General features: G+C 44.3%; 1 protein-coding gene across 10 annotated transcripts in view, besides 7 other annotated features; it reads left to right on the top strand.

Moving 5' to 3' along the window:
* The window catches only part of PTCH1 (patched 1), a 73,992-nt gene that overhangs the window by 14,253 nt on the left and 37,179 nt on the right, over nucleotides 1–22,560 (top strand). For 9 of the 10 annotated variants that reach the window (NR_149061.2, NM_001083603.3, NM_001083602.3 and 6 more), the window contains exons 3-6: nucleotides 16,845–17,034; nucleotides 20,516–20,585; nucleotides 20,679–20,770; nucleotides 22,131–22,329. Coding sequence is in view for 9 of the 10 variants with exons in the window: in NM_001083603.3 (NP_001077072.1) it covers nucleotides 16,845–17,034; nucleotides 20,516–20,585; nucleotides 20,679–20,770; nucleotides 22,131–22,329 (551 nt within the window). In the remaining variant the exon portion in view is untranslated. Of the gene's footprint in view, nucleotides 1–16,844; nucleotides 17,035–20,515; nucleotides 20,586–20,678; nucleotides 20,893–22,130; nucleotides 22,330–22,560 lie in introns of those variants that run through there. The other variant, NM_001354919.2, reaches the window with a different exon arrangement.
* Nucleotides 5,596–7,142: an enhancer, noted in NCBI's record as "VISTA enhancer hs1258". NCBI's record gives its function as "enhancer in: neural tube[4/5] | hindbrain (rhombencephalon)[4/5] | midbrain (mesencephalon)[4/5] | forebrain[3/5]" and the evidence as "EXISTENCE:transgenic organism evidence [ECO:0001131][PMID:17130149]".
* Nucleotides 7,559–8,298: an enhancer, noted in NCBI's record as "H3K27ac-H3K4me1 hESC enhancer chr9:98256703-98257442 (GRCh37/hg19 assembly coordinates)". NCBI's record gives its function as "activates a minimal SCP1, AML or CMV promoter by ChIP-STARR-seq in naive H9 embryonic stem cells {active_cell/tissue: H9 hESC(naive)}" and the evidence as "EXISTENCE:reporter gene assay evidence [ECO:0000049][PMID:30033119]".
* Nucleotides 7,903–8,122: an enhancer, noted in NCBI's record as "active region_28640". NCBI's record gives its function as "activates an Ori minimal core promoter by ATAC-STARR-seq in GM12878 lymphoblastoid cells {active_cell/tissue: GM12878}" and the evidence as "EXISTENCE:reporter gene assay evidence [ECO:0000049][PMID:35858748]".
* Nucleotides 8,173–8,222: an enhancer, noted in NCBI's record as "active region_28639". NCBI's record gives its function as "activates an Ori minimal core promoter by ATAC-STARR-seq in GM12878 lymphoblastoid cells {active_cell/tissue: GM12878}" and the evidence as "EXISTENCE:reporter gene assay evidence [ECO:0000049][PMID:35858748]".
* Nucleotides 8,283–8,372: an enhancer, noted in NCBI's record as "active region_28638". NCBI's record gives its function as "activates an Ori minimal core promoter by ATAC-STARR-seq in GM12878 lymphoblastoid cells {active_cell/tissue: GM12878}" and the evidence as "EXISTENCE:reporter gene assay evidence [ECO:0000049][PMID:35858748]".
* Nucleotides 8,283–9,040: a biological region, named in NCBI's record as "H3K27ac-H3K4me1 hESC enhancer GRCh37_chr9:98255961-98256702".
* Nucleotides 8,299–9,040: an enhancer, noted in NCBI's record as "H3K27ac-H3K4me1 hESC enhancer chr9:98255961-98256702 (GRCh37/hg19 assembly coordinates)". NCBI's record gives its function as "activates a minimal SCP1, AML or CMV promoter by ChIP-STARR-seq in naive H9 embryonic stem cells {active_cell/tissue: H9 hESC(naive)}" and the evidence as "EXISTENCE:reporter gene assay evidence [ECO:0000049][PMID:30033119]".

The following is a 22,560-nucleotide window of genomic DNA, read 5'->3' as shown; positions in this document are numbered from 1 at the left end:
GTGCGTGTGTAGGAATTGGTGATAAGAATTATTGTATTCTGTTGTTAAAATGTCCATATAATGATTGCCTTTTAATAAACTGTCAATTATATGTTAAGATACCAGCTTGAGTTTTAGGGTTATAGTGTTTGCTAATCAAAATTGTCAAATCAGTTTCACATATGTGCGGAGTAATGAGGTTTGATAGAGAATATGTTGACTGATGTAGTGGACATCTGCTGTTGCAGAAACACATGACCATGGCAGCAAGGTGGGGGAGAAACTAATTGTCATTGTATAAAAATAGAAGCGTTCATTCTGCACATGTTCTCAGTACCTACTCTGCACCACCATTGCAGAAAGCTCTCCAGAGAGATGTTGGTGAAAAGCCACAGTCTCTGCCCTCAGGGGAACTCCATCCAAACATTCAGCAGGTACACGGACTGGTGTGTGGGTAGTTAACATGAAGGACAGCAGTGCCAAGATGGCAGGAAAATCGGGGACATCTTCCAGGATGGCCTCAAGGGTGGAGGCCTGAGCTAGGCACAGGGGCTGGAGGGGAGAGGGTAGGGGGCATTCAGGGCAGAAGGAACAGCATAGGCAAAGGCTCAGAGAACAGGAATGTGGCCTCCTGGAGGGCAGCCTCCCTTTGTGGGTCGTTGAGGTTGGGTGGGAGCCTGGAAGCTGGGCTCGTCCCTCAGGGCCATTTCACAGAAGTCTCCCTGCTTGGCTGGGGGCTGTCAGCTCTTCCTACTAGCCATCCCTGTCTCACGAGTGTGCTCACGTGTTGGCCTCTAGTGTTTTCCCTGGAGCCACGAATGCTTCACCTGGATCTCACCTTTCTGGGCACAGACTGGTGTTATTTTTAATCTTGCCTGTTTCTTTGTTGGTATTTCCTTTTTGTTAAGCAGTTTTAACCCATCTCCCTCAGTATCTATTTCTTTTCATATCAGCCCCCTCACTGCAGCCCTCCCTCAGAACAAGTTTCTTGTCAAGCTTCTCCAGCGATAGAACATTCATTTATTTCTTTGAGCTTTTTGTTTTTTCTAAAAGCTTGCCCAGCTCCTGGCCTCCTTTTCTGCAGAGGGCAGCAGCCTTGTAATGAATCCATATTGCTTTGGTGTTTGGATGTTAACATTGCTGCAGGCCAGCGTCAAGGAAGAAGGAGGCAAGTTGTGACTTTGACTTTTTTTTTTTTTTAAGAAAAATAGAAGAAATTGTTTTTTAAAATACATGCTTGGTATGTGTAAGTGCTTTCAAGTTTGTACCTTGCTAGTGTTAATGCTTTCAGTGTTCTTGAACTCAGGCAATCAGTTGTAGGAGATAACTGAGTTTCACCACTCCTTCAATTTGGAGCAAGGTCCCTCAACCTCAGGACTATTGACATTGGGGCTGGATCATCCTCTGTTGTTGGGGGCTGTTCTGTGCACTATAAGATGTTTAGCAGCATCCTGGTTTCTACCTACTAGATGCCAGTAGCACCCTCCCAGTTGTGACAACCAGAATGTTTCCAGTCATTGCCAGATGTCACTGGGGGAGAGGGTGTCCCAAATCATCACGATTGAGACCCACTGGTTTAGATGATAAAAAGATTTTGATTGGAAGACTCATGCTGTGCAGATGGAAGACGTTTATTATGATGGAGTTGTGGCTACAATGCATTGCAGAGATGCAAGAGTATTAATCTTCTTTAAGATAACTCCCCCATCCCATTCCTGTATTTATAGACCCAGATAACTATTTTTCTTAGAATGACATTAAATGTCAAAGAAAAACACCGTGATGGGTCGAAAGAGGAAAGAGGCCATGGAAGAAAGAAATAATTTATATTTGGGTACCTTTTGGTGGGGGGTATCTAAATTTGCAGAAAGACTGGTTGCACCTCAACCCCAGTAGCCTGAAGGTTTTTAGCATGGTTGACTTTCTGAAAAGCTTTAATAGAAGACACCACTGCCTTTGTGCATATTGAAATAACAGCTCCTTCAGAAGCCCGGCTAGTGTGTGAACTCCTTGGTGGTCTCATTCTCCTCCAGATGTTTCTGTCACAAACCACTCCCCCTTGTCCCCCCAGGAGCCCTTGTGGAGCAGAACCAAGGGACAGCAAGGGACCAGTCCCAGCCAGAAGGGCAGAATGGATTCTGCTGTCACTGCCCTTCCACAGTGAGCACCTGGTTTCTTTTCTCTGGGGTTGCCATTGTGGGGGCATTTCACAAGGGACAGGAAGAAAAATGCAGCTCCTTTCTGCTCCCTGGACCCCCATACATGGTTTAGAAGGGAGAATATGTTTATAGGTATTTATTAGTTTCTACTACTGGGTATGCACATTTAGGTGGAAGCAGTTGTGATATTTCTTTCATATTTGGAGAAAAACGATTGGAAATGAGAAGCCACCAATGATTGTTTAAAAAAGAACAAATAGCCCTCAGGTGTCTTCTACACAGGGCAGTTGACCCTGCGAATCCTCCCTATCTCTTTGCTGTCTGCCATTCTTGACCCTTCACCAAGTTGAGAGGACAGGTTGGGTAATGGGGTGTTTCAGATACATAGGATGCCGCTCAGAGGTTCCAGAAGATGACAGCTTCCAGATGTATGAACAGCCTGATCCGTGTGTTTAGATTATGCACCACAGCTGATGCCGAGATTAATGCTGGCTGGACAAGCCATGGGAGATTTGTCTGGTTTCCACAATGCCATGTTTATGTTTCATTTGAGTTTCTCCTTCAAAGCTGACCTGCCTGTGACCCTGGGCTCTGTCCACTCGGGCAAGCTGAAACTCGGGCAAGCTGAAACTCGTCTGCCCTGTTCTCCTGCTTGTATTGGGGTAGGGGAGAGTCACAATTGGGCGGAGAAAGGGGCGCTTTGGTGGCCGCCTTCTGCCTCACCATGCCAGCTATCTGCCCAGATTTAGCCCCTGATGAGTGTTCAGTTCTCCTCGGGGATGTGTTTCACTGTAAAAGGTTTTTTGGCTTTTAAAACAAATATGGAAATATTATAAAATAACTGTAAAGGGGACCAGATTTAATAGAAGCCACTTTGCATAAATGTAGTATTTTAACTTCTGGCACTCTTTTGACACTATTTAGGGGGAGAAAAAGTTGAGGGAATTTCAGCTATGTCAGACACCCCCACATAATAACCATGGCTGTGTCATCCTATTATAATACTATTAATGTTTCCTGTGCCCCTCGCTGGCTCCCAGAACCTCTGCTGCCTCCTCCCTCTCTCCCCTGCCCCCTTCCCTCCTGCCCCTTCTCCCGCCCACCCACTCTAACCTGCCCACGTCATTTCCTTCCAAGTGGATCTCTGCAGTTACTAGTGTGAACTCTGAAATGGTAGTAAGTCTGGCTAATCACAACCTAAGAGGAGGGAATGAGAACATTTATTATTTCAAGCCAGCTGTGGGAGATACTAGATACAGAGCTGCCATTTGCATCCTTGGCATTCTTATTTTGGTTAGGGTTGGTTCCAAGACCACACTCTTTGATGGGCTCTTGGCAGAAGATGTGATTCCCCTGTTGAAGAATCATGACTTTTTTTAATGGACTGCTGAGGCAACTTTAAAATCCATTGACAAGTTTCTTCAACCCATACCACACCGCCAGAGAGAGTGGGAAATAAGTCTTGGTCCCCTGTGCTTACCGTGGCGCATGGACAGTGGAAGAACTGGGTTCCCTAGCATTTCTGAGACAGTGAGTGGAGCACAAACCATGGCTTTCCCTCCCAGGTGCCCCACTTCAGGTCTTCCTTGCTTAGAACTCCCACCAAAGCCAGTGGGCACATGGAGCTTGGCTAGATTGAAGACGATGGAATTCCTTATCCAGATTTTGGCCGACTCTGAAGCTTTATGTGTTCCATCCTCACGAGAGGTCTTGGTTGACATCCAGAGACCAGAGGGCCTTGCTGGTGAGGGCACTTCTGCCTGCAGGAGGAGGAAGCTCTGCGGGATTCTCTCAGTGGGAACATTCCTTGAATACACAGATATAATCAGGGTCATCAAAATATAAACACTTCTGTTACTTTCTCTTCTAATCTTTGAATTTGGGTGCTTATGATAATACTCACTGGATTTTTTTTTTCTCTTTAAATTGGATTTAGGGCACTTTTTTTCCTTTACACTGCAATGTCTAATGCCTTCCGTACAGCAGAATACTGCCATTGAGAAACTGCTGGGCTGTGGTGGAGGATTTTAGGAGCCTGGTGTACAGGAAGATGCGCCCCATCCTTAGTCCCTCCAGGAGGGAATATGACTGTTCCATTTGGGGTTTAGAGCATGGCTGGAAAAACAGCTGTCATGTGTTAGGGAAACTGTATTGTTGGTGGGCAGTCAGATACCTGCTAATGAATGGCAAGTTTGTTGTTGGAGAGATTTATAATGTGGGGGCAGGACCTTATTTCTAATCCAGAAACCCAGGTGTGAGTTGGCCCAAATAGTCCACTCTGCATGTGGGTCCCATAATGCCACTGCTATGAAAGCAAGGCTAGTGAGAAGCAAGTCCCCATACCACAGCGCAAGCTTTATTTATTATTGTTCGGATAAATGAAAAGAAGCAGTAGACTTACCCAATTTAGCAACCAAGATAGTTTTCAGTTATTAATGAGACATGTATAAAAGTAAGCAAAAGGAACTGGAAATGGGCTTTGTTAAGTCAATGTGCATGATTTTTTTTCCCCCTTAAATCATTGCTTAAGGGCTTCTGGCCCCTAGCTCAGGAATCCTGCCCAAAAATGCCAGATGTATTACACAGTCAAGTATTGCAATGTAAACACCACTCCGTGCCACGAGGCAGGGTGGTCCATCTCCTATTTAAGAAGAGTGCGAGATTGAGAGGATGGGGGGTGGGGGGGTAAACCCTCTGCTCTGTAGTGAGCCCAGTGGTGGTTGTGTCATTTGTGTTTTTGGCTGCACAGTCAAGATTTGAAACTACAAAACCCAGATAAACACATTGGAATGGCAAAGAATAGCAACTTGAATTGGGATGCCAAACAAATCAAGATGTGGCTTGGATAGTGTTGCTTCATTGGGTCAGATAAGTTTATAAAATGTGGGACAGAATGGAGGGTGGGGAGAGACAGGAAGAGCGCTCTTGTCACAGCAGCATCTTTAAGTTGCATGAGCATCCTGTTATTCATTTGCTGGTGGTTAAATGGAAAGGTGAGTGGAAGCGAGGCGGAGAGAGCCCGAGCCTCCAAGATGACCTCCTCCGTGAGAGGAAGCCCTCCCGGGTGGGTGCACCTTCCAAGCCTGGAAAAGCTGATGGGTTGCAAAGCCAGTCTGGTGTTCTGTGGCACTGAGGGATGTAGCCCACGATATGTTCTGAAGTAAATGGCTTTCCAGTTTTCTCCTGCTTTCTGCATTTCTGAAGTAAGAAGTCTGCTAATGATGATTGTTCGGAGCTGAGAAAGTCACTGGCACTTTGGGCCACCCTCCGGTATAACGTGTCGTACGATGCTGCCAGCAATGACAGGAAATTGGAGTACCCAAATATTACCTATCCTTCCAGATAGCCTAACATGAAGCAGCCCTGAGAGTGACTACACTCAGGGTTTTTAAAAATTAATACGAACATGTTTTGTGAGTTAGGAAGAAATAGGATTTCAGTTTGAATTTGCGGAATTGTTGAAATACCTGCGCCAATATTCTCCTGATTAAGAAATTTATTCTACAGAGTGATCTGAGAAAACGGCTTTAAGAAATAGTGATGATAAAAACAGGAATTTTGAGATGAAGGAAAATGTAGGCTTCTTGACTCCCTCTTTCTCCTCCCACCGCTGTTTTTTTTCCTTTTGTGAATTCTTCCACATTCCCACCCCCACTCCCTGATTTCCTCTGCTCCTTTACTGGGAAACCAGCAACCTTCACAAAATAGACTCAAACATCACACAGCCTCTTTTTAAATAGAGGCTTTCTAAGAGAAAATAACAAAAGAATTTTTCCTAGCTGCCTAAGAAATTCTTTCTTCTTACTTTATTTTCCTCATGAGATTTACACATTGTTGTAATAAGTAAAAAATGATAAATATGATACCATCATTTTGGTCTACACATGATCCAGAAAAAAAAATTGCACATGTTTAATACCTTGCTTAATTGCAAACAAAGCTTGCAATTTGAGAGAATTGGGATTAGGGCTAAATATCTATTAACTGCTCTTTCTAGAGATTTGGGGACTAGGATGACCCTTTTTTTTTTCTTTTTTTTTTTTAATAGGCTACAGTTTCACATGGCTCCCAAAAGAAATCTCTCTCCCTTTTTGTTTCCCACACCAATTGATTTATCATTTTGCTTGCAAGCAGATCCAGAATGTTAGGGCAAGAACACACTCACTTTTTTCTCGTAACTTTTTTGTTGCGGACCGAAACCAGTTGACTTGAATAAATTTTTCTGAGGCCTGAATGTAGCCAGCAACGTGGAAAAATCTTGCCATTCAGGGCCGTCTGAATGTACATTTCAGCCACACAGTAAGCTGCATTGGGAGGCGCTGGACTGCTAAATGCAACCATTTTTCGCAGCAGCGAGTTAGACAGGTGATTAGCATAATTAGCACCGAGCAGCTATACATATGGTAATGCTGAGTGTGTAAATGCCAGCTGCGGTGTAAAATTTATGTCAGGGGTCGGCAGGGCTGTGCGAAAGTATTGTGTTCCAGCTGCAGGTCAGGGCCGCCAAAGCTTACCTCCTTTTCTCTTGTTGGTGAATACGCCAAACAGAAGAGAAAGACAGAAATATAACAGATACGGCTTTGATGGGACAGCCCAGTTCTGTGCAAGAGGGACTGCTCTATAAAACACACACACTCACACACACTTGCAGAAATCCCATTACTTTCTGTAGAAATCGTGTGTGTACTTCATGCAGGGTCCAGATGAGTGGGGCCGGGATGGAGGTAGGTAAATGATTCCCTGGGAGGAAAAAATTCAGTCATTGAAGTTTTAAAAGGAGTTAAAAGTTCTGTTTTGTTTTTCTTCCCACCCATCCTTTTACCCCCCACACCATTCCCTCCACCACTCTCCTGCCCACATTGTCTTATTTCACATTAGATGGGGGGATATCCTTGCTGGATGGGATAGCATTGGTCCTTTAGAAGAGGAGGAACTAACCGTTCTGGAGGTGTTAGCCTTGAACAAAATATAAGGTTTCAGCAGTGCAACTCTTCCCAAACTGCTTGACTAGCTTTAGAAAGGGGCTAAAAAAAGCTTTTGTGGGCTTTTTGTTCTTCCTCTGGGTAGCTATACTTACTCGCCTACCTATACTTACTCCCCCTACCTCCACTGTCAGACCCACCAAATTCTTTATAGATTTAAAAAAAAAAAAAGAATCACATGGGTTTCTTGTTTGAAAGGATAGTCTTGAATGGCTCACATACTTTGAAATGCATGATGCGGGAATTTATTGCTATGATGAGTTTATACATTTTGCACTTGAGGTATTTTCTCTGCCACGCCCCCACCTCCACCCTTCCGTTTTTTGGTTGGTGGCTATAAGAAGTGGTGGTGTTGACAGAATATAGTTCACACCATGCTGACCCGGTGATGAAACTTCCTCACGGCACCAGGGGGTCCTTATGTACTGGCCCCTAATCCAGCTAATCCTGATGGCAACAAAATCATGAAAGTGGCCCCCAGTGACGTGAGTCTCCCTGCACAGATGCAGAGGGAAGGAACAGTGCAGGAGATAAATGAGGCCAGCGTGGTATTCACCGGAGGCCAGGGAGCCTGCGTGCGAAGGTGGAGACTCGCATTGTCTTCTCCCCCATGTCGGCTCAAGTGGGAGGCCAATGAAGAGAGGCCCAGGCTGGATAATGGCAAGAAGACTGTTCAGAGCTGAGAGGTGATGTCAGCCCCACAGAAGCTGAGAGAAGGAAACTGGGGTTAATGTTATGCAATGCCTTGAGTGCTGTGATGGAGAGCCTGCCGTGGAAGCACTTGGGTTTTGTTGTTGTTGTTGGGTTTCTTTCTGTTTCTATTTTTTTAATGAAGACTTCAGGAGGTTTCAACTAAGCTTGATGAAAACACGCTGTGTTGGTTCCTGGGTTCTGCTGCCTGCTGCTGCTGGAGTGTGGCCTCTGAGCCAGCGCGCGCTCGTCATCACACCTCTGGGCCCGCCCACTTCCTGCAGAGCGACGGGACCTGGGTGTGCATCTGCCTGCCTGTTGCGCTTGAGCGGCCTGGTTGCACCTGAGGTTGTGGTAGAACCTGGGACAGTTCCCAGCTTGGAAAGTACGCTGTTCCGGATGGAAGACATTTCCGCCTGTGCTCTGCAGGAAGTCAGCAACGTTCTTGGGCCTGTCTCAGGTGGCGCGGTGCACAGCCCTCATTTGCCAGTGTGGCAAGTAACCAATGAAGAAGGGGCCTCCTGGCAGATGCAGCGTCGTCTCGGGAACTCGTGGCTCCTTGGGAGCTGGTGGGAGCTGCGACAGGCAGCAGGTCCAGCGTGGGCAGAGTGCCGGGCTGACCTGATTGCATCTGACAGGGCGAGCAGGTCTGCGTCAGGGAAAGCCATTCAGAGGGAGCAGCCTGGGCAAGGCTGATAACAGATGGCACTGCCAGCAGCTGGTGGGGGCGGGGAAGCTTGCTTCCGGCGCATGCGCGTTGCAGAACCCCGCGCGAGCGCCTGCGCACTACCTGCGCCCAGCCTGCCACATGCCCCGTGCGGTCCCGTGCGGTTCCGTGGGCAGGTGGGGGTGTCCTTTTCTCGTTATGCTTTGGTGGTTGACCTCTCACTGGGCTCACTTCATGAAGGCACATTCTCTTTGGGCTGATTGTAGCGTTTTTCCCATGGCAACACGCAGGGGCACAATCTCATAAGGAAAAAAACGGCCCAGAAACTTGGACAGCGGTTGGCTCCTCCTGAATAAAAGAGATGGGTGGGAGAGGACTAAAATTCACAGCCCGTGAATTTTCAGCCAATTGCTCACATTACTGAATTTTCTTTTTTTTTTGTTTTTCGATTATAAAAAAGAGGCAGTGCTAATAATTTTGCAGTTACACCCGCTTAGAGATTTGTACTTTTTCGGCCTCACAGTAAGTAAATGCAACATTGAAAGGAGGACCTGAGCAACTAAAAGAAAAAGAAAATCTCTCTAGAGGCTGTTAGATAATTCATGGGATTAATCAAATGCAAATGCAACGCTTGCATATACACAGACCCTATTTTCCTAATTGGACTCTGAGTGGGTACTTTTCAGGCTGAAAGGGTCATTTGTTTTGACTGATTGACTTTTTGAGGCTTTGGGGGGAATTAATAACTTATACAGATGACTGCCTGTTCCCAAGGCTCTGTATTGAGACTGCGCATTCATTTATTCATTCAGCACACTTGGTGTGCCATGCCCCTGGTGCCCCTCTGCGTCCCTCACATACGGAGGTGCATGGGCAGGACTTGAATTTTGTGGAAAATAACTTCGGTTGGTCCCTCAGATCATCTTTATGTGGATCACAATAAGCTTTTGCTAAAAGGTTTTTGTGTGAATGACACAGAAGTTTCTTAAGCTCTGTGCAGAAGGCTGTGCTGAGGAGGGGCACAGCAGGGAAGCGTGATGAGGGAAACATCTCTTGTCTACAGTGGATTGGAATCATATTGGCCTAGAAGTATGGGCCTCTGGGTCAGCTGGCATCCCACCTGAGCTAGCTAGCCTTTCTTCACTTTGGAAAGTTAAGCCTGGCTTGATTTGGGGATGAGAGGATCAGCAGAGCTTGATCAAAAACTTATTTGCAGAAGTGATGCTTCTTTTGCCTTTCAAAGAATTGGCTTAAGCCTTGGATTTCTGGAGAATAAGATGGCAGAATTTGCAGGTAAAGAGGCTTAGGGCTGCATGTTCTCTGTGTGCCTTCATCTGCCCCCTCTAAGACAGGACTCTCTGGGGACCAGAAGGAAAATGAGGCCTGTCCACTGTGACCCAGGGAGCCCTACTGAAAAAAATGCATCTCCTCACTGGCTGAGAAAAGTCTTTGATGCAACATGGTTGTACTTTAAATAAAAATACGGATTATTGTCATATTTCACGCATTCTAAAATTCTAGCTGTGAGCGTAATACAGGTTGAGTATCCCTTATACAAAATGTTTGGGACCAGAAGTGTATGGGATTTTGGATTTTTTTAAGGGGGGGTGATATTCACACATAAGCATGATGAGAAAGCTTGAGGATGGGACCCAACTCTAAACATGAAATTTGTTTATGTTTCAACTACTTTATGCATCTAGCCTGAAGGGAATTTTATACGATATTTTAAGATAATTGTGTGCCTGAAACAATGTTGGTGTATATTGAACTGTCTGAAAGCAAAGATGTCACTATCTCAGCCACCCATGTGGACAATCTGGTTGTGTGGCATTCCCATCCTTCCTGACTTAAAATTTATATGCTGCCGATAAGCAATCATTTTCTTAAACTAATTCACACCTACGTACTTACCAGTAAAAAAACCACGACATTCCATTAATGCAGTGAAAAAAATAATGTGTTCAGGGTACCCAAGCAGCACAATAGCATCACCAGATACCTGCATCAGTGGCTAAACAACAGCAGCTTCCGGTCTCCACCTGCAATGCTGTGTTTTCACTGAGAGGTTACTGTACACCATGTTTTATTTTTTTAGGTGAGAAGAAACATCAGAAGCAGTTGAAGGATCAGGGAGTGGGTTGTGTAGGGGCGAGGAGACATCTGCTGGATGGCTTTTCAGAATGTTTCCTCCAGCATCACCGGCCTCATTAACAATAGTTTCTGTCTTAAGACGTCTCTCTTTGATTTTATGAATTGACATGATTTCCTGTTTGGTTGTGAATGCACGATGCGTTAGTTTTCAATAAGCCCATCACACATTTTTACCAGGTCTGCTATAGTTAACTTTTTGTGCAGTTGTAACATGTCATCTTCATGGTTGTGAGCCTGTTTTGACTGTGACTGATTACATGAGGTCAGATGTGGAATTTTCCACTTGGAGCATCATATTGGCACTCAGGAAGGTTTTGGAGCATTTGAGACCTTCAGATTAGGGATGCTCAACCTGTCTAGTGTGCTCTGTGGAATTTGGCACTCCTAGGCTACCTCCTGCTGTACTCATGTTCTCAGCTGGTGCTCAGAAACCATGAGGCTCGCAGGGTAGTTGGACTCTGGGTTAAAGGGTCAGTTCTGCCTCTTACTAATAAGGTGGGCAACCTTGGGCAAGCCACCCAAACTCTGCAGCTATGCCCCCTCCCCTGTAACATCAGGACAGTGAAACAATGCTCTGTGACAAAGGCATGGGTGAACTGACACTTGCTCCGCTCTTGGGTAAGGGTCTGGGAAATTTCACACACATTGTCAGCTAAGGCTCTCACAGTCCTGTGAGGTTCATCACAGCATTTGTTATCCCTGTTATCCTCAGCAACCAGGAAAGGTGGCTGAGGCTCAGCTGTGTCAGGGACTTGTCCTAGATCTCTCTGCCACTAGTGGCAATGCTGGGGTCTTCCGGTTTCCATTCTCACTGCCTGTCTGGTACAGCTGGCCCCAGCTTGATGGAGGAGCAGCAATGATCAAAATATTTCCAAAGACGTAAAGAATATGGTCTCAAAGGGCTTTGCAAATGGAAAGCACCACCCAAGTATAAAACGTTATTTTGTGTCTCAGGATCCTGAGATAATGATTTTTCTTGAGTCTTGTTCAGAGGGGTTGTTATTTTATTGTTAATATAAAAGGACTTCAGAATATGATGAAGATGCATATGATTATTTTTATAGTTTATTAGTATTATTGATACATAATACTGTATATATTTGTGGTGTACATGTGATGTTTTGATATAAGCATATGATGTGTAATGATCAGATGAGGGTAATTGGAATGTCCATCACCTCAAACACATTCATCATTTTTTTGTGTTGAGAACATTCTAAATCTTCTCTTCTAGCTATTTTGAAATATACAGTGTATTGTTGTTAACTGTAGTCTCCCTACTATGCTATGGAACACTAGAATGTATTCTTTCTACTTAACTGTATGTTGGTACTCATTAACCCACCTCTCTTCATTTCCCCTCTCATTCTTCCCAGCCTCTGATAACCCTCATTCTACTCTCTAAGTCCATCAGATTAATCTTTTTTACCTCTCATATATGAGTGAGTACAGAGATGCCTATTTTTTTTTGCATTGAGTTTGTTTTTAATTCATATCTCTACCAAGTAGCTCTCATATCTATCTTTCTTTTGTGTGTGTGTGTGTGTGTGTGTGTGTGTGTGTGTGTCACATAGAAGGTTTTGTTTTTCTGGGTTTTGTTTTGTTTTGAAGTGGGGTCTCATTCTATTGCCCAGGCTGGAGTGCAGTGACACAGTCACAGTGCACTGCACCCCCCAACTCCTGGGCTCAAGCGATCCTCACACTTCAGCCTCTGAAGTAGCTAGAACTAAAGGCAGCCTCCACTACTCCACAGCTATTTCTTTAACTTTTTATTTGTAGAGATAAATACGTTTATCTGTGTTGCCCAGGCTGGTCTCGACTCCTGGCCTTAAGTGATCCTTCCACCTTGGCCTCCCAAAGTGCTGGGATTACAGGCATGAGCCACCATGTCCAACCATAGAAGCTTTTAATTATACTCTTTCATTGTAGAAAAATTGATAGAAATAAACTCAAAAAAGCAAAGCGGGTAAATATTATCCATAGTCCGGCCAGGTGCAGTGGCTCACGCCTGTAATCCCAGCACTTTGGGAGGCCGAGGTGGGCGGATCACAAGGTCAGGAGATCGAGACCATCCTGGCTAACACAGTGAAACCCCATCTCTACTAAAAATACAAAAAAAATTAGCCAGGCCTGGTGGCGGGCGCCTGTAGTCCCAGCTACTTGGGAGGCTTAGGCAGGAGAATGGCGTGAACCCTGGAGGCAGAGCTTGCAGTGAGCTGAGATGGGGCCACTGCACTCCAGCCTGGGCGACAGAGCAAGACTCCGTCACAAAAAAAAAAAAAAAATTATCCATAGCCTACCACACAGCAAAAATGGCTATTAACTTGGTTCCCTATGCCTACATCTACATAACAGATACTAGATTTAATAGTTATTTTCTTCTGCACTATTTCACGAACATTAGATTATTTTAAAAATATGTTAGGACTTTGATCCTGACAGTGGAAAAAAGTCATGCCTGAAATCCCAGCACTTTGGGAGGCCAAGGCAGGAGGATTACTTAAGCTGAGGAGTTTGAGACCAGCTTGGGCAACATAGTGAGGCCCCCGTATCTACCCAAAAAAATGAAAAGTTAGCTGGGCATGGTGGTGTGTGCCTGTAGTTGGAGTTATCTGGGGTATTAGGGGAGGAGGATCGCTTAAGCCCAGGAGGTTGAGGCTGCGGTGAGCAGTGATTGTGCCACTGCACTCCAGCCTGGGCAACAGAGCAAGACCTTGTCTTTAAATAAAAGAAAAAGAAGGGGGAAACCTATTTCTCCAAGACCATGACCTTCATCTCAGTCATCTAAAATGGGTTCTGTGGGACTTCCTGAGCTCAAAGCTTCACACTTAGGGATGATAAGGAAGACAGCAAGATAATGAACAGCTTTCAGCTGTCATTCAGCAGTGATTTAGGATAGGCGTTTGCTAGGGTAGCAAATGTCAGACGAGTCAGTAAAATTGCTCTATCCTGAAGGGTTTCTGTTTCTGGCAGCTTGCTCCAGAGTGCCTTGGGTCAATACTGATGTCAGAATATATGAGTGTCGTGCACTTTATGACACAGTTATACCCGAGAGGGAGCTGATTCTACCAGTTCACATGGTGAATGACACAAGACTTAATTATGGTCTCACCAAGCTCCGCCACACTTGCCTCCCTTCTCTCCCTGCAACAAGCCAAACCTGAGGGCTTTGCAGTTGCTGGTTCTTCTACCCAGAACGCTGTTTCTCCAGCTCTTCAAAGTCACCTAAATGTTGTTTCCCTTTAGGTCTTCCCTGCTATCCCATTTGAAATATCTTTTCCCCTTCCCCACTACCCAACATGGCATCACCATCTTCGTTTTCTGCATCACACTTGTGCTATGAAGGTATCTTATTGTTTTGCTTGGCTGTTGCCTGTTCCCTTCACTGACCAGCATGCCTCTTGGAGAGAGACTACGCTGACTGGTTTCGTCCACCACATCCCCACTGCCTGGTCAAAGTACCCACCCACCCACCCACAAATGCTTGCTGGATGAATGAATCATGTTACAGCTATTGGTCAGATAAAATGGGTGGCAACTAAACTTCATTAACGTTTTTGAATCATTTTGCAAAACATTCATATTTGGTTAAATATAAGATGAAATATTAGATAAAATATAACCATATAATATGTAAAAGTGAATTGCATTTAATAGTATATATGGCATAGGTGGTTGAGAAAACCGTAGACTTCAGAGTCTCAACTCTAGTTGCTTGGCCACCCTATCATGATAGTCTTAGTTGAAACATCACATTGGCAAAATATTTGTGTTCATCATTAGAGCAAAGAGATGGGGGAGCGACAGGTTTTCCAATTCCAGAGAAAGGACAAATCTATACCTTTATTAAAATGTTTATGTAAATATACATCTTAAAACATCTAAAAAGGGGACATGATGGAGACCCTGAGGTACATTTTATATCTTGTAGAAAATAAATGCCATTTCTGAAACACCCTGTGATAAAATAACTGCTCCATTATGAGGTTGGTCTGGAAGAGTCTGGTAAAAATTTCTTAGCAGCACAAACTTTGTGTTTGGTTTTGCCATTTTTGTGCACACTGCACTCTCAGGTCACTTCGAGGATTATATAGTTAACAGGCGGCTGCTCTGCCAAGGCTCGAGGGGCAGAATCTTGCTGAAGCCAGGCTGTCTGTCATGGACTGCTCCTCACTATAACGGCACCTAGGTCACCATAATAAGGGTGGGGGGTGTGCTTTGTTGCTGCTGTTTTTTAATTTCATGGGTTTAAGTCACCTGATATGTTAAGCTTCAGTAAAGGTGCAGGAGGTGCAACTTTGTAATCAGAATGAAAAACCACGTGCATGCTGATGTTCGAGGAGGCAGTAACAATGGGAATGATTTCTGGGTTTGTGGCATTAGATGTGATAACACAAAGAAAGGGTGAGCAAAAGCTGCATTGAGCTCCTTGGTGGGCAGCTCTGCAGCTGTGACCTCTGGACTCATAACTGGCTTTTTAGCCTCATACAGCTTCTGCACTTCTAGGGGATGTGGGCTGGCTCAAATTCAGTTAATTGGTTGGAAGTCTGCGTGGTGTTAAGTACTGTGCTTTCTGCTAGAGTGAGCAAGCCCCTGCCTTCAGGCAGCTTTCCCAGGGCTTGCAGAAAAGGCCAGCCGAGTAGGTAGATGCTTCTCTGTGCAAGTTGTTTCCCAGTGTTTTCCTGTGATTTTTCCTTAACTTCACATTGATGGCAAGGCCCTCGGCAATGCCCCCTGGCATTTTTCAAAGTTTTCTGCACACAGAAGTCTTATTCCTTTTTATTAACCAACTGATATATTCCTCCCTCCTTCCCGACCCCACACGCAGTATGTTAAACCTCACCTCACGGAGCTCCTGGCCTTGGCATCCGCGTGGACCTGCACAGAGGGTCCTGCCAGGCGGTGAATTTGTACTGGTTTTCCTAATGAGGGCATTATTTGCTTTTTAGCCTGCCCCCTTGTTTATAAAATATGCCAAGAGAACTAAACAACCCGCTGTTCCCAGTCCTTATTTACTTGTCCAAACCAAATGTTTATGTCCTTGAATACTAAACTTGAAGAAAAAGGATTCCTCCTCGTGGGAAAGCTATGATCACTGAGTTTTTTTCTAAACTGTCGCTGCAGGCCTGCTTTTCAGTCAACATGCAACTTATCAATGACTTTAGGAACAATTCAGACCCGCTTCCTTTGCCCTAGACTGTGGAGTGGGGGAGCTCTAGGTTCCTGGGTCTGTAACTATTAGTATCTCCCTGAGACACCTCCCAGCCCAGGTGCAGCATTCGGAGCTTGGCTTGGCCCAGAACCGTTCATTGAACATAACCTTGGGCCTAAGGATGTAAAAAGGAGAGGAAGAGAAAAGGCATTTGGCAGTCACAGTGTTGATGGTTTTCTTTGGTCACCTGCTCCTGCGCTGGCTTTGGGCATACCCCGTGCTGGCCAGCTTGCTGGAAAGCTGGGTTGGTGTGAGGCAGGACTTCTCGGCCTGGGCAGCAGGTTCAGGGTCACCTGGGGTGCTTCCGGAAAACAGGCTGCTCACCCCCAGCTGACTGAGAACCTGGCACCTGTGTTTTCTGGATGCTGACCAGGTGCGTCTGATGGAACCAGGTTCCAGGGACTGCCCATGATGGCTGTGGCTGATACAGTTTGTTCCTCTCAATTGGGATTTCCCCATGGGCATCTGACTTGAATCACTTTATTTATCTTCTCCTGGCAAGTTTTGTGCTGAACACACACTGGCCACCTTTCCTTGTTTCTTTTTCCACAGAGGAGAAACATTTCCTTGTTACCTTTGCCAGTTTACTTAGGAGAAGAGTGTAAATTGAAGCCATTTATCTTGAAATCTGCTGCAGGGGCGCATTGTTTATACAAGTGAAAGAAATTGTAACAGGGTTATTTGGTCTGGTCTGCAAGGAAAAGGTGTCTCAAGTTTTCCTTTCTGCCCCCCACTTTCGTCACACAGTGTATTAGTTAGAATTAGGTTTGTGTCTGTGACAGGCGGGACAGCCATTAATGGGCTTAGTGAGTATTTTTTATGTTTACTATTGGTGAAGTTAACATTGCCATTAATAAAGTGAATGTTACTGCTCACACATCAGCCAGTCTCATGACTAGAGTTCATCTATTGTGTATCCTATGGCAGGTAGTCAGATAACAGATAAAACATGAGTTTGCAGTGATTTTGCTATTCTAATTAAACCTGTACATATTTGTCAGTTGGAGGACGAGTAAGTCGTGAATTAAATTATACTCGCCAGAAGATTGGAGAAGAGGCTATGTTTAATCCTCAACTCATGATACAGACCCCTAAAGAAGAAGGTGCTAATGTCCTGACCACAGAAGCGCTCCTACAACACCTGGACTCGGCACTCCAGGCCAGCCGTGTCCATGTATACATGTACAACAGGTAAGGCCCGCCGCGTCCACCTACTAATGAGCAGCAGGTAAGGCGGTGGGAGAAGGCTGCTGGTTTAGGCCCCGTTATTTTAGTAAATGAAGTTGCCCTGGAAATGCACCTGGAGTATTAGTTCAAATAGCTTTGCAATGAAAGGATTTTTTTCATCTTGATTTATCGTTTCTCGAGTTTGGTAACAAAGCAAGTGCATTACTTGATAATGTATTGCCAGTAAGTATCTTGGCACTGTCCCCAAAAGAGGATGACGCTGAGCCACTTGGGGACTATACACCCAGGCTGTAAGATGTTTCATTGCTTAAGAGATTTTTGGAGAGTGATATTTTGAATTGCCCTTGCTGAACTTAAAAACAATGCGAAAAAGAAGAGCTGCTTCTTGTGACTTTGTACTCTTAGTTGTTTTGTGTCACACAGCACGTTGGGGGCTGAGCCACCATGGGAATTGTTGCTGACACCTTTTTATTTATTTTTTTGAGACAGAGCCTCACTCTGTTGCCCAGGCTGGAGTGCAGTGATGTAATCTCGGCTCACTGCAACCTCTGCCTCCCGGGTTTAAGCGATTCTCATGCCTCAGCTTCCCAAGGAGCTGGGGCTAGAGGCGCCCACCACCACACCTGGCTAATTTTTGTATTTTCAGTAGAGATGGGGTTTCACCATTTTGGCCAGGCTAGTCTCGAACTCCTGACCTCAAGTGATCCGCCTGCCTCAGCCTCCCAAAGTGCTGGGGTTACAAGCGTGAGCCACCATGCCTGGCCCGCTGACACCTTTTTAAAAAGTCATGTTTTAGCATCGTATTGCTAATTTCACAATGCTGTGAGTAGAGTAAAGCATTAGGAAGAGTTCAAAACTCGGTCCTTTTTCTTATGTATCTAGACTGTTGGTTACTACAGGGCAGGGGCCACCTCTTGTCTGTTTTCACCCCAGCATTGAGAACAGAGTGGGCATTCAGTTTGTTGATTGCTTTTGAGGTTGGCATCACTAAACCCCATTTCCAGGGGACCTCTGAGTTGATGTCACCCAACCCCATCACCTCCCCTAGGCTTTCAGCACCTCTTCACTGAGGCCTTTGTTAGTACTGTTTATTTTTCCTGGAAGAGGTGAGGAAGTAGCAGTATAGGCATATTCAGCAGCCAGGGAGAACCAAAGAAGAGAATAAAATTAAGATTTTTCTTGTCCCTTCTCTAACCTCTGCTTACATTCCAGCTCGACAGGATCCTAGGGACAAGCACAGCCAGGGTCGAGTCACATGTCTTTGGCACATTCTTGTTTGTTTATCTGTAACCTGGGCTTATGGTCATGTGTGCTCGTATCCTTCATGGTTCCCAGAACAAGACCAGATACATGAATGCAAGGGCCTTAGAAAATGTAAAATCATGTTTCTGCCAGGCAAACTTGCCCTGTTGGTCTGTAACAAGTATTGTAGGGAAGCAACTACCTGGTACAGTTTTGCAGAATGTGAAGTGGCATCCCTGTGGGGAGCCAGGTTGTCCTGGGGCCACTGCAAGCATGGCCAATGCATTCTTAGTGTTTGTCACCTACATGCTTCAGGAGAAGATGTGAGGGTCTGTGCCATTAAATTACACTCTTAAGCTGAGATGGGTCCAGAGTAATTTTATGCATTGGAATGAACTTTAAGAACATGTAGTTCAACCCATCCCATGTTTTAGGTGAGAAAACTGGGAATTAGACTAATTAGAGCATTTGTCCAAGTTCATGCAGTTATGAAATGAGAGAGCCAGGTTTCAAAGCCTTTTTCTGGCTTCAAGCCCATTCATTTTTCTAATGCACAATGATGTCCTTCTCAAGTGTAAATGAGAGTTGATCAAGTAATATAAAGTGAGAACCTACTCATGCCGGATAGTCTATGTTGATGCTGTATAGAATTAAAATATAAATATGTCCATGGATGTGTGGCTAGGTGGAGGATGGCGGAGATATGGGTAAGTTAGGCACAGCTCTCAAAGAGAGGAAAGACATCAGTATAGATAGACATGGACAAAGGAAACGTGGGCGGTCCCCATGACAGCTGCGCCAGGTTTCAGCAGGAGATCTGCCCAGCCAGGGCTCTAGAGTTCAGGAGAAGGGGGTCATTTTCAACAAGCTTAACATGGGGGTGACATTTCAACAGGGCGCTGAGAGACAGGAAGGCACAGGGAAGAGGACACAGTAAGCTCCTTGGGTGAAGACAGGCCTCCCTTAGGAGGCCAAGAATAGAGCAGTTGGGAGGGAAGTTTTTACTGTGTTTCTTTCTTTTTTTTTTTTTTTTTTCCTTCCCTTGGACTTTTCCATCCCCACTCTTCCAGATTTTCTTTTTTTTTTCGTTAGACTGATCTCCCTAACACACCTGGAAAGATATGGGCTTATATAACACTTTTCTAGAGACAATAAAACTCCCGATTAATTCTTTTTTTTTTGAGAGATAGGGTCTTGCTTATCTAGGCTGGAGTGCAGTGGAGCAATCACAGCTTACTGCAGCCTCGAACTCCTGGGCTCAAGTGATCCTCCACCTCTGCCTCCCGAGTAGCTGGGACTATATATGTGTGGCACCACGCCTGGCAATTTTTTTTTTCATTTTTTTGTAGAGATAGAGTCACTCTCTGTCACCCAGGCTGGAGGGCAGTGGCATAATCACAGCTCACTGCCTCAGCCTTCCAGGATCAAGTAATTTTCTTGTCTGTATAGCTGAGATGACAGGCATGCACCACTGCGCCCAGCTAATTTTTAAAGTTTATTTATTTATTTATTCATTCATTCATTTCATTCATTCATTATAGAGATAGGGTCTCACTTTGCTGCCCAGGCTGATTTCAAACTCCTGGCTTCACGCTGTCCTCCTGCCTGCACCTCCCAAAGTGCTGGGATTACAGGCGTGAGCTGCAGCACCCAGCACTAAATTAATTCTTGATCTGTATATTTATTCACATTTCTGTAAGATAGGAATAGAAGAGACTGTGAAGTTAGAATTTGACCCACCTGGCACATGTTGTTGTTTATAATATTAATGGTTAAGAGCAGGAGAGTTCATTTTGAATACTACCTATTAAGGACATGATCTGCCAGTAAAACATCTCCGCACCTGAGTATGTGTCAATACTTTGCAAACCTAATTTAATCCCCGCCTATTTTGAATTTATGATAATTCAGCTGGGCTGCCCTGAAGTTGTTTAATGTATGTAGAAAAGCAGATTAATGGTGTAAACAAGATTATTGGGAGAACACTTAAGAAAACAAGACTTTTCAAGTACTTTGGTAGCATTCATTTACATAAACACCCTACATGTTAATTACGATTGAGTATTATCTATTCATTAAAGCAAGCTTGCTGGGTCTCTACTTGGCAAAAGCTCTGCTCGTTTTGACAGATGCTTAAAAGTGATCGAAATTGCAGTTCTTTTTATATGTTCTATCATTTCGAATTTGCACTAATTTTCTTATTACAGTGAGAAATTTTTGTCTCTGCTTTTCATTTTATTAGGCAGTGGAAATTGGAACATTTGTGTTACAAATCAGGAGAGCTTATCACAGAAACAGGTTACATGGATCAGGTATATTTTCTTCTTGTTGGCAAAAATTTCTCAGGAACACCCCAGTAGTGTGCCTTAACCTAACGCATGGCCTCTTCTTTTTAACTTTGACAGATAATAGAATATCTTTACCCTTGTTTGATTATTACACCTTTGGACTGCTTCTGGGAAGGGGCGAAATTACAGTCTGGGACAGCATACCTCCTGTAAGTGTGTGATCATGCTTTCTGATGTCTGTGACTTCTCTAGGACTCAGTGTTTCTAATGTTGCTTATCATTGTTTGTTCCATTTCAGTTTTGAACAAGAAATAAAAACATTGAAATTCCATGTGCATTTTTTGAGTGAATAGTCGGGGGAGAGGGGATTTCAGCAGAATGTTTTTTCTCTTTTCAAAAAACAATTCTGTAGGCGTCATTAAATTTCATTCACTTTTACCAACCTATTTATATGCAAATAAAATGCAAATTATTGCAGAGTACGTGTGATTTTTTAACTCTTTAAAATGTTCGTAGTTTCGAAGACGAGGCATTTAGACACTTATTTTTTAAGGAGAGACTTTATTAGTGAGTGGGTTCACATCAGAATGAAATATTTTGAGTTTGAGATCTTCCTGTGAAGTAAAAAGCTAACCTTTCTTTAGATCACACTAATGGCATTTAAGGGGGAAATCCACTATCTGTGAAGGCCACAGTAGGGAATGTTTCACCGTTTAGCAGTTGGATATTATATATACCGCATCATTTAGAGAATAATTGTTAATCAGCATAGACATTTTCAGTTAATTATGCAAGAGTGAGAGCTTGGGTTATTGTTTCTGTCCTGGCTTGCACATATCTGCAAAAGCAATTTGCAGTGGCCATCCCCTGACCTTCAGTGTACAGTTTTAGATGGGAAATAAGGGGTTTTGTGTTTTCTGGTTGGGAGATTCCGAATAATGACTTCAGCCTGGTTAAGCAGCTACAGTGTGGTTTGAACCACATAACAGGCAGCCAAAAGCCTTTCTGGTCTGTCAACAGCACAGATTCAAAAGTGAGTGTGGGGGGAAGTGGCTGTGATGGTGGTGATGGCAGAGGCTGCAGGGGGCTTGCCCATTCCATTGCCAGGCTGTCAGAGAGCGCTCATAAGTATGGGATTGTTAAAGGTAGCAGAGATCAAATATTTTGATTGATGACATTTACAAAGTATTTATTTGGCTGCCAAGTGCTAATTTGATATTGTGACGCCCTCTTTTTTAAAAAAAAAAAAATTTAATTTTGGATCTGTCTTTTTGGCTAATTTTGTATGTAGATATTAAATATACAATATCAGCAATTAAAGATTATTCAGTGCCCTCATTAACTTATGAGTCCTCTCTCTGCTTAGCATCTTCAGTCATGAATTATTTTCCTGACCTAAGTTTTTATGCAGATATGCTGGAAAGGAGCATTTGTTTTGATGCCAGAGTCCCAGAACTGCAGCATTGCCAGGAACCTCCTACAAGGTGGATGCAGTGGGCGCAGCCGTGTTACTTTACGATGCGTTTAGAAGGCTCTTTTCATGGTCTCGTCTCCTAATTTCTTTTGCAGAGGTAAACCTCCTTTGCGGTGGACAAACTTCGACCCTTTGGAATTCCTGGAAGAGTTAAAGAAAATAAACTATCAAGTGGACAGCTGGGAGGAAATGCTGAATAAGGCTGAGGTTGGTCATGGTTACATGGACCGCCCCTGCCTCAATCCGGCCGATCCAGACTGCCCCGCCACAGCCCCCAACAAAAATTCAACCAAAGTGAGTACCAGCAGTGAGCGCTCTCAGAAGGGTGGAGAGCAAAACACTTTTTTGTGTCCATTCATCGTTCACTTTATTATTTTCATTTTTAACATTTCATTCTCCATGATCGTCTTTGTCTATGGAACTAAGTTTATTTATAGAGCTAAATTTTGCTGTAAGATTTGCCATACACCTCCCATTAGCCTTGCTATTAATGTTCTCTCTGAAACACACAAGCCCTTAATGCAC

This window comes from Homo sapiens, chromosome 9, assembly GCF_000001405.40.
Source record: "Homo sapiens chromosome 9, GRCh38.p14 Primary Assembly".
NCBI classification, from domain to species: domain Eukaryota; kingdom Metazoa; phylum Chordata; class Mammalia; order Primates; family Hominidae; genus Homo; species Homo sapiens.
Note: the sequence above shows the minus strand (reverse complement) of the source record. Positions and strands in the feature narration are given on the sequence as shown.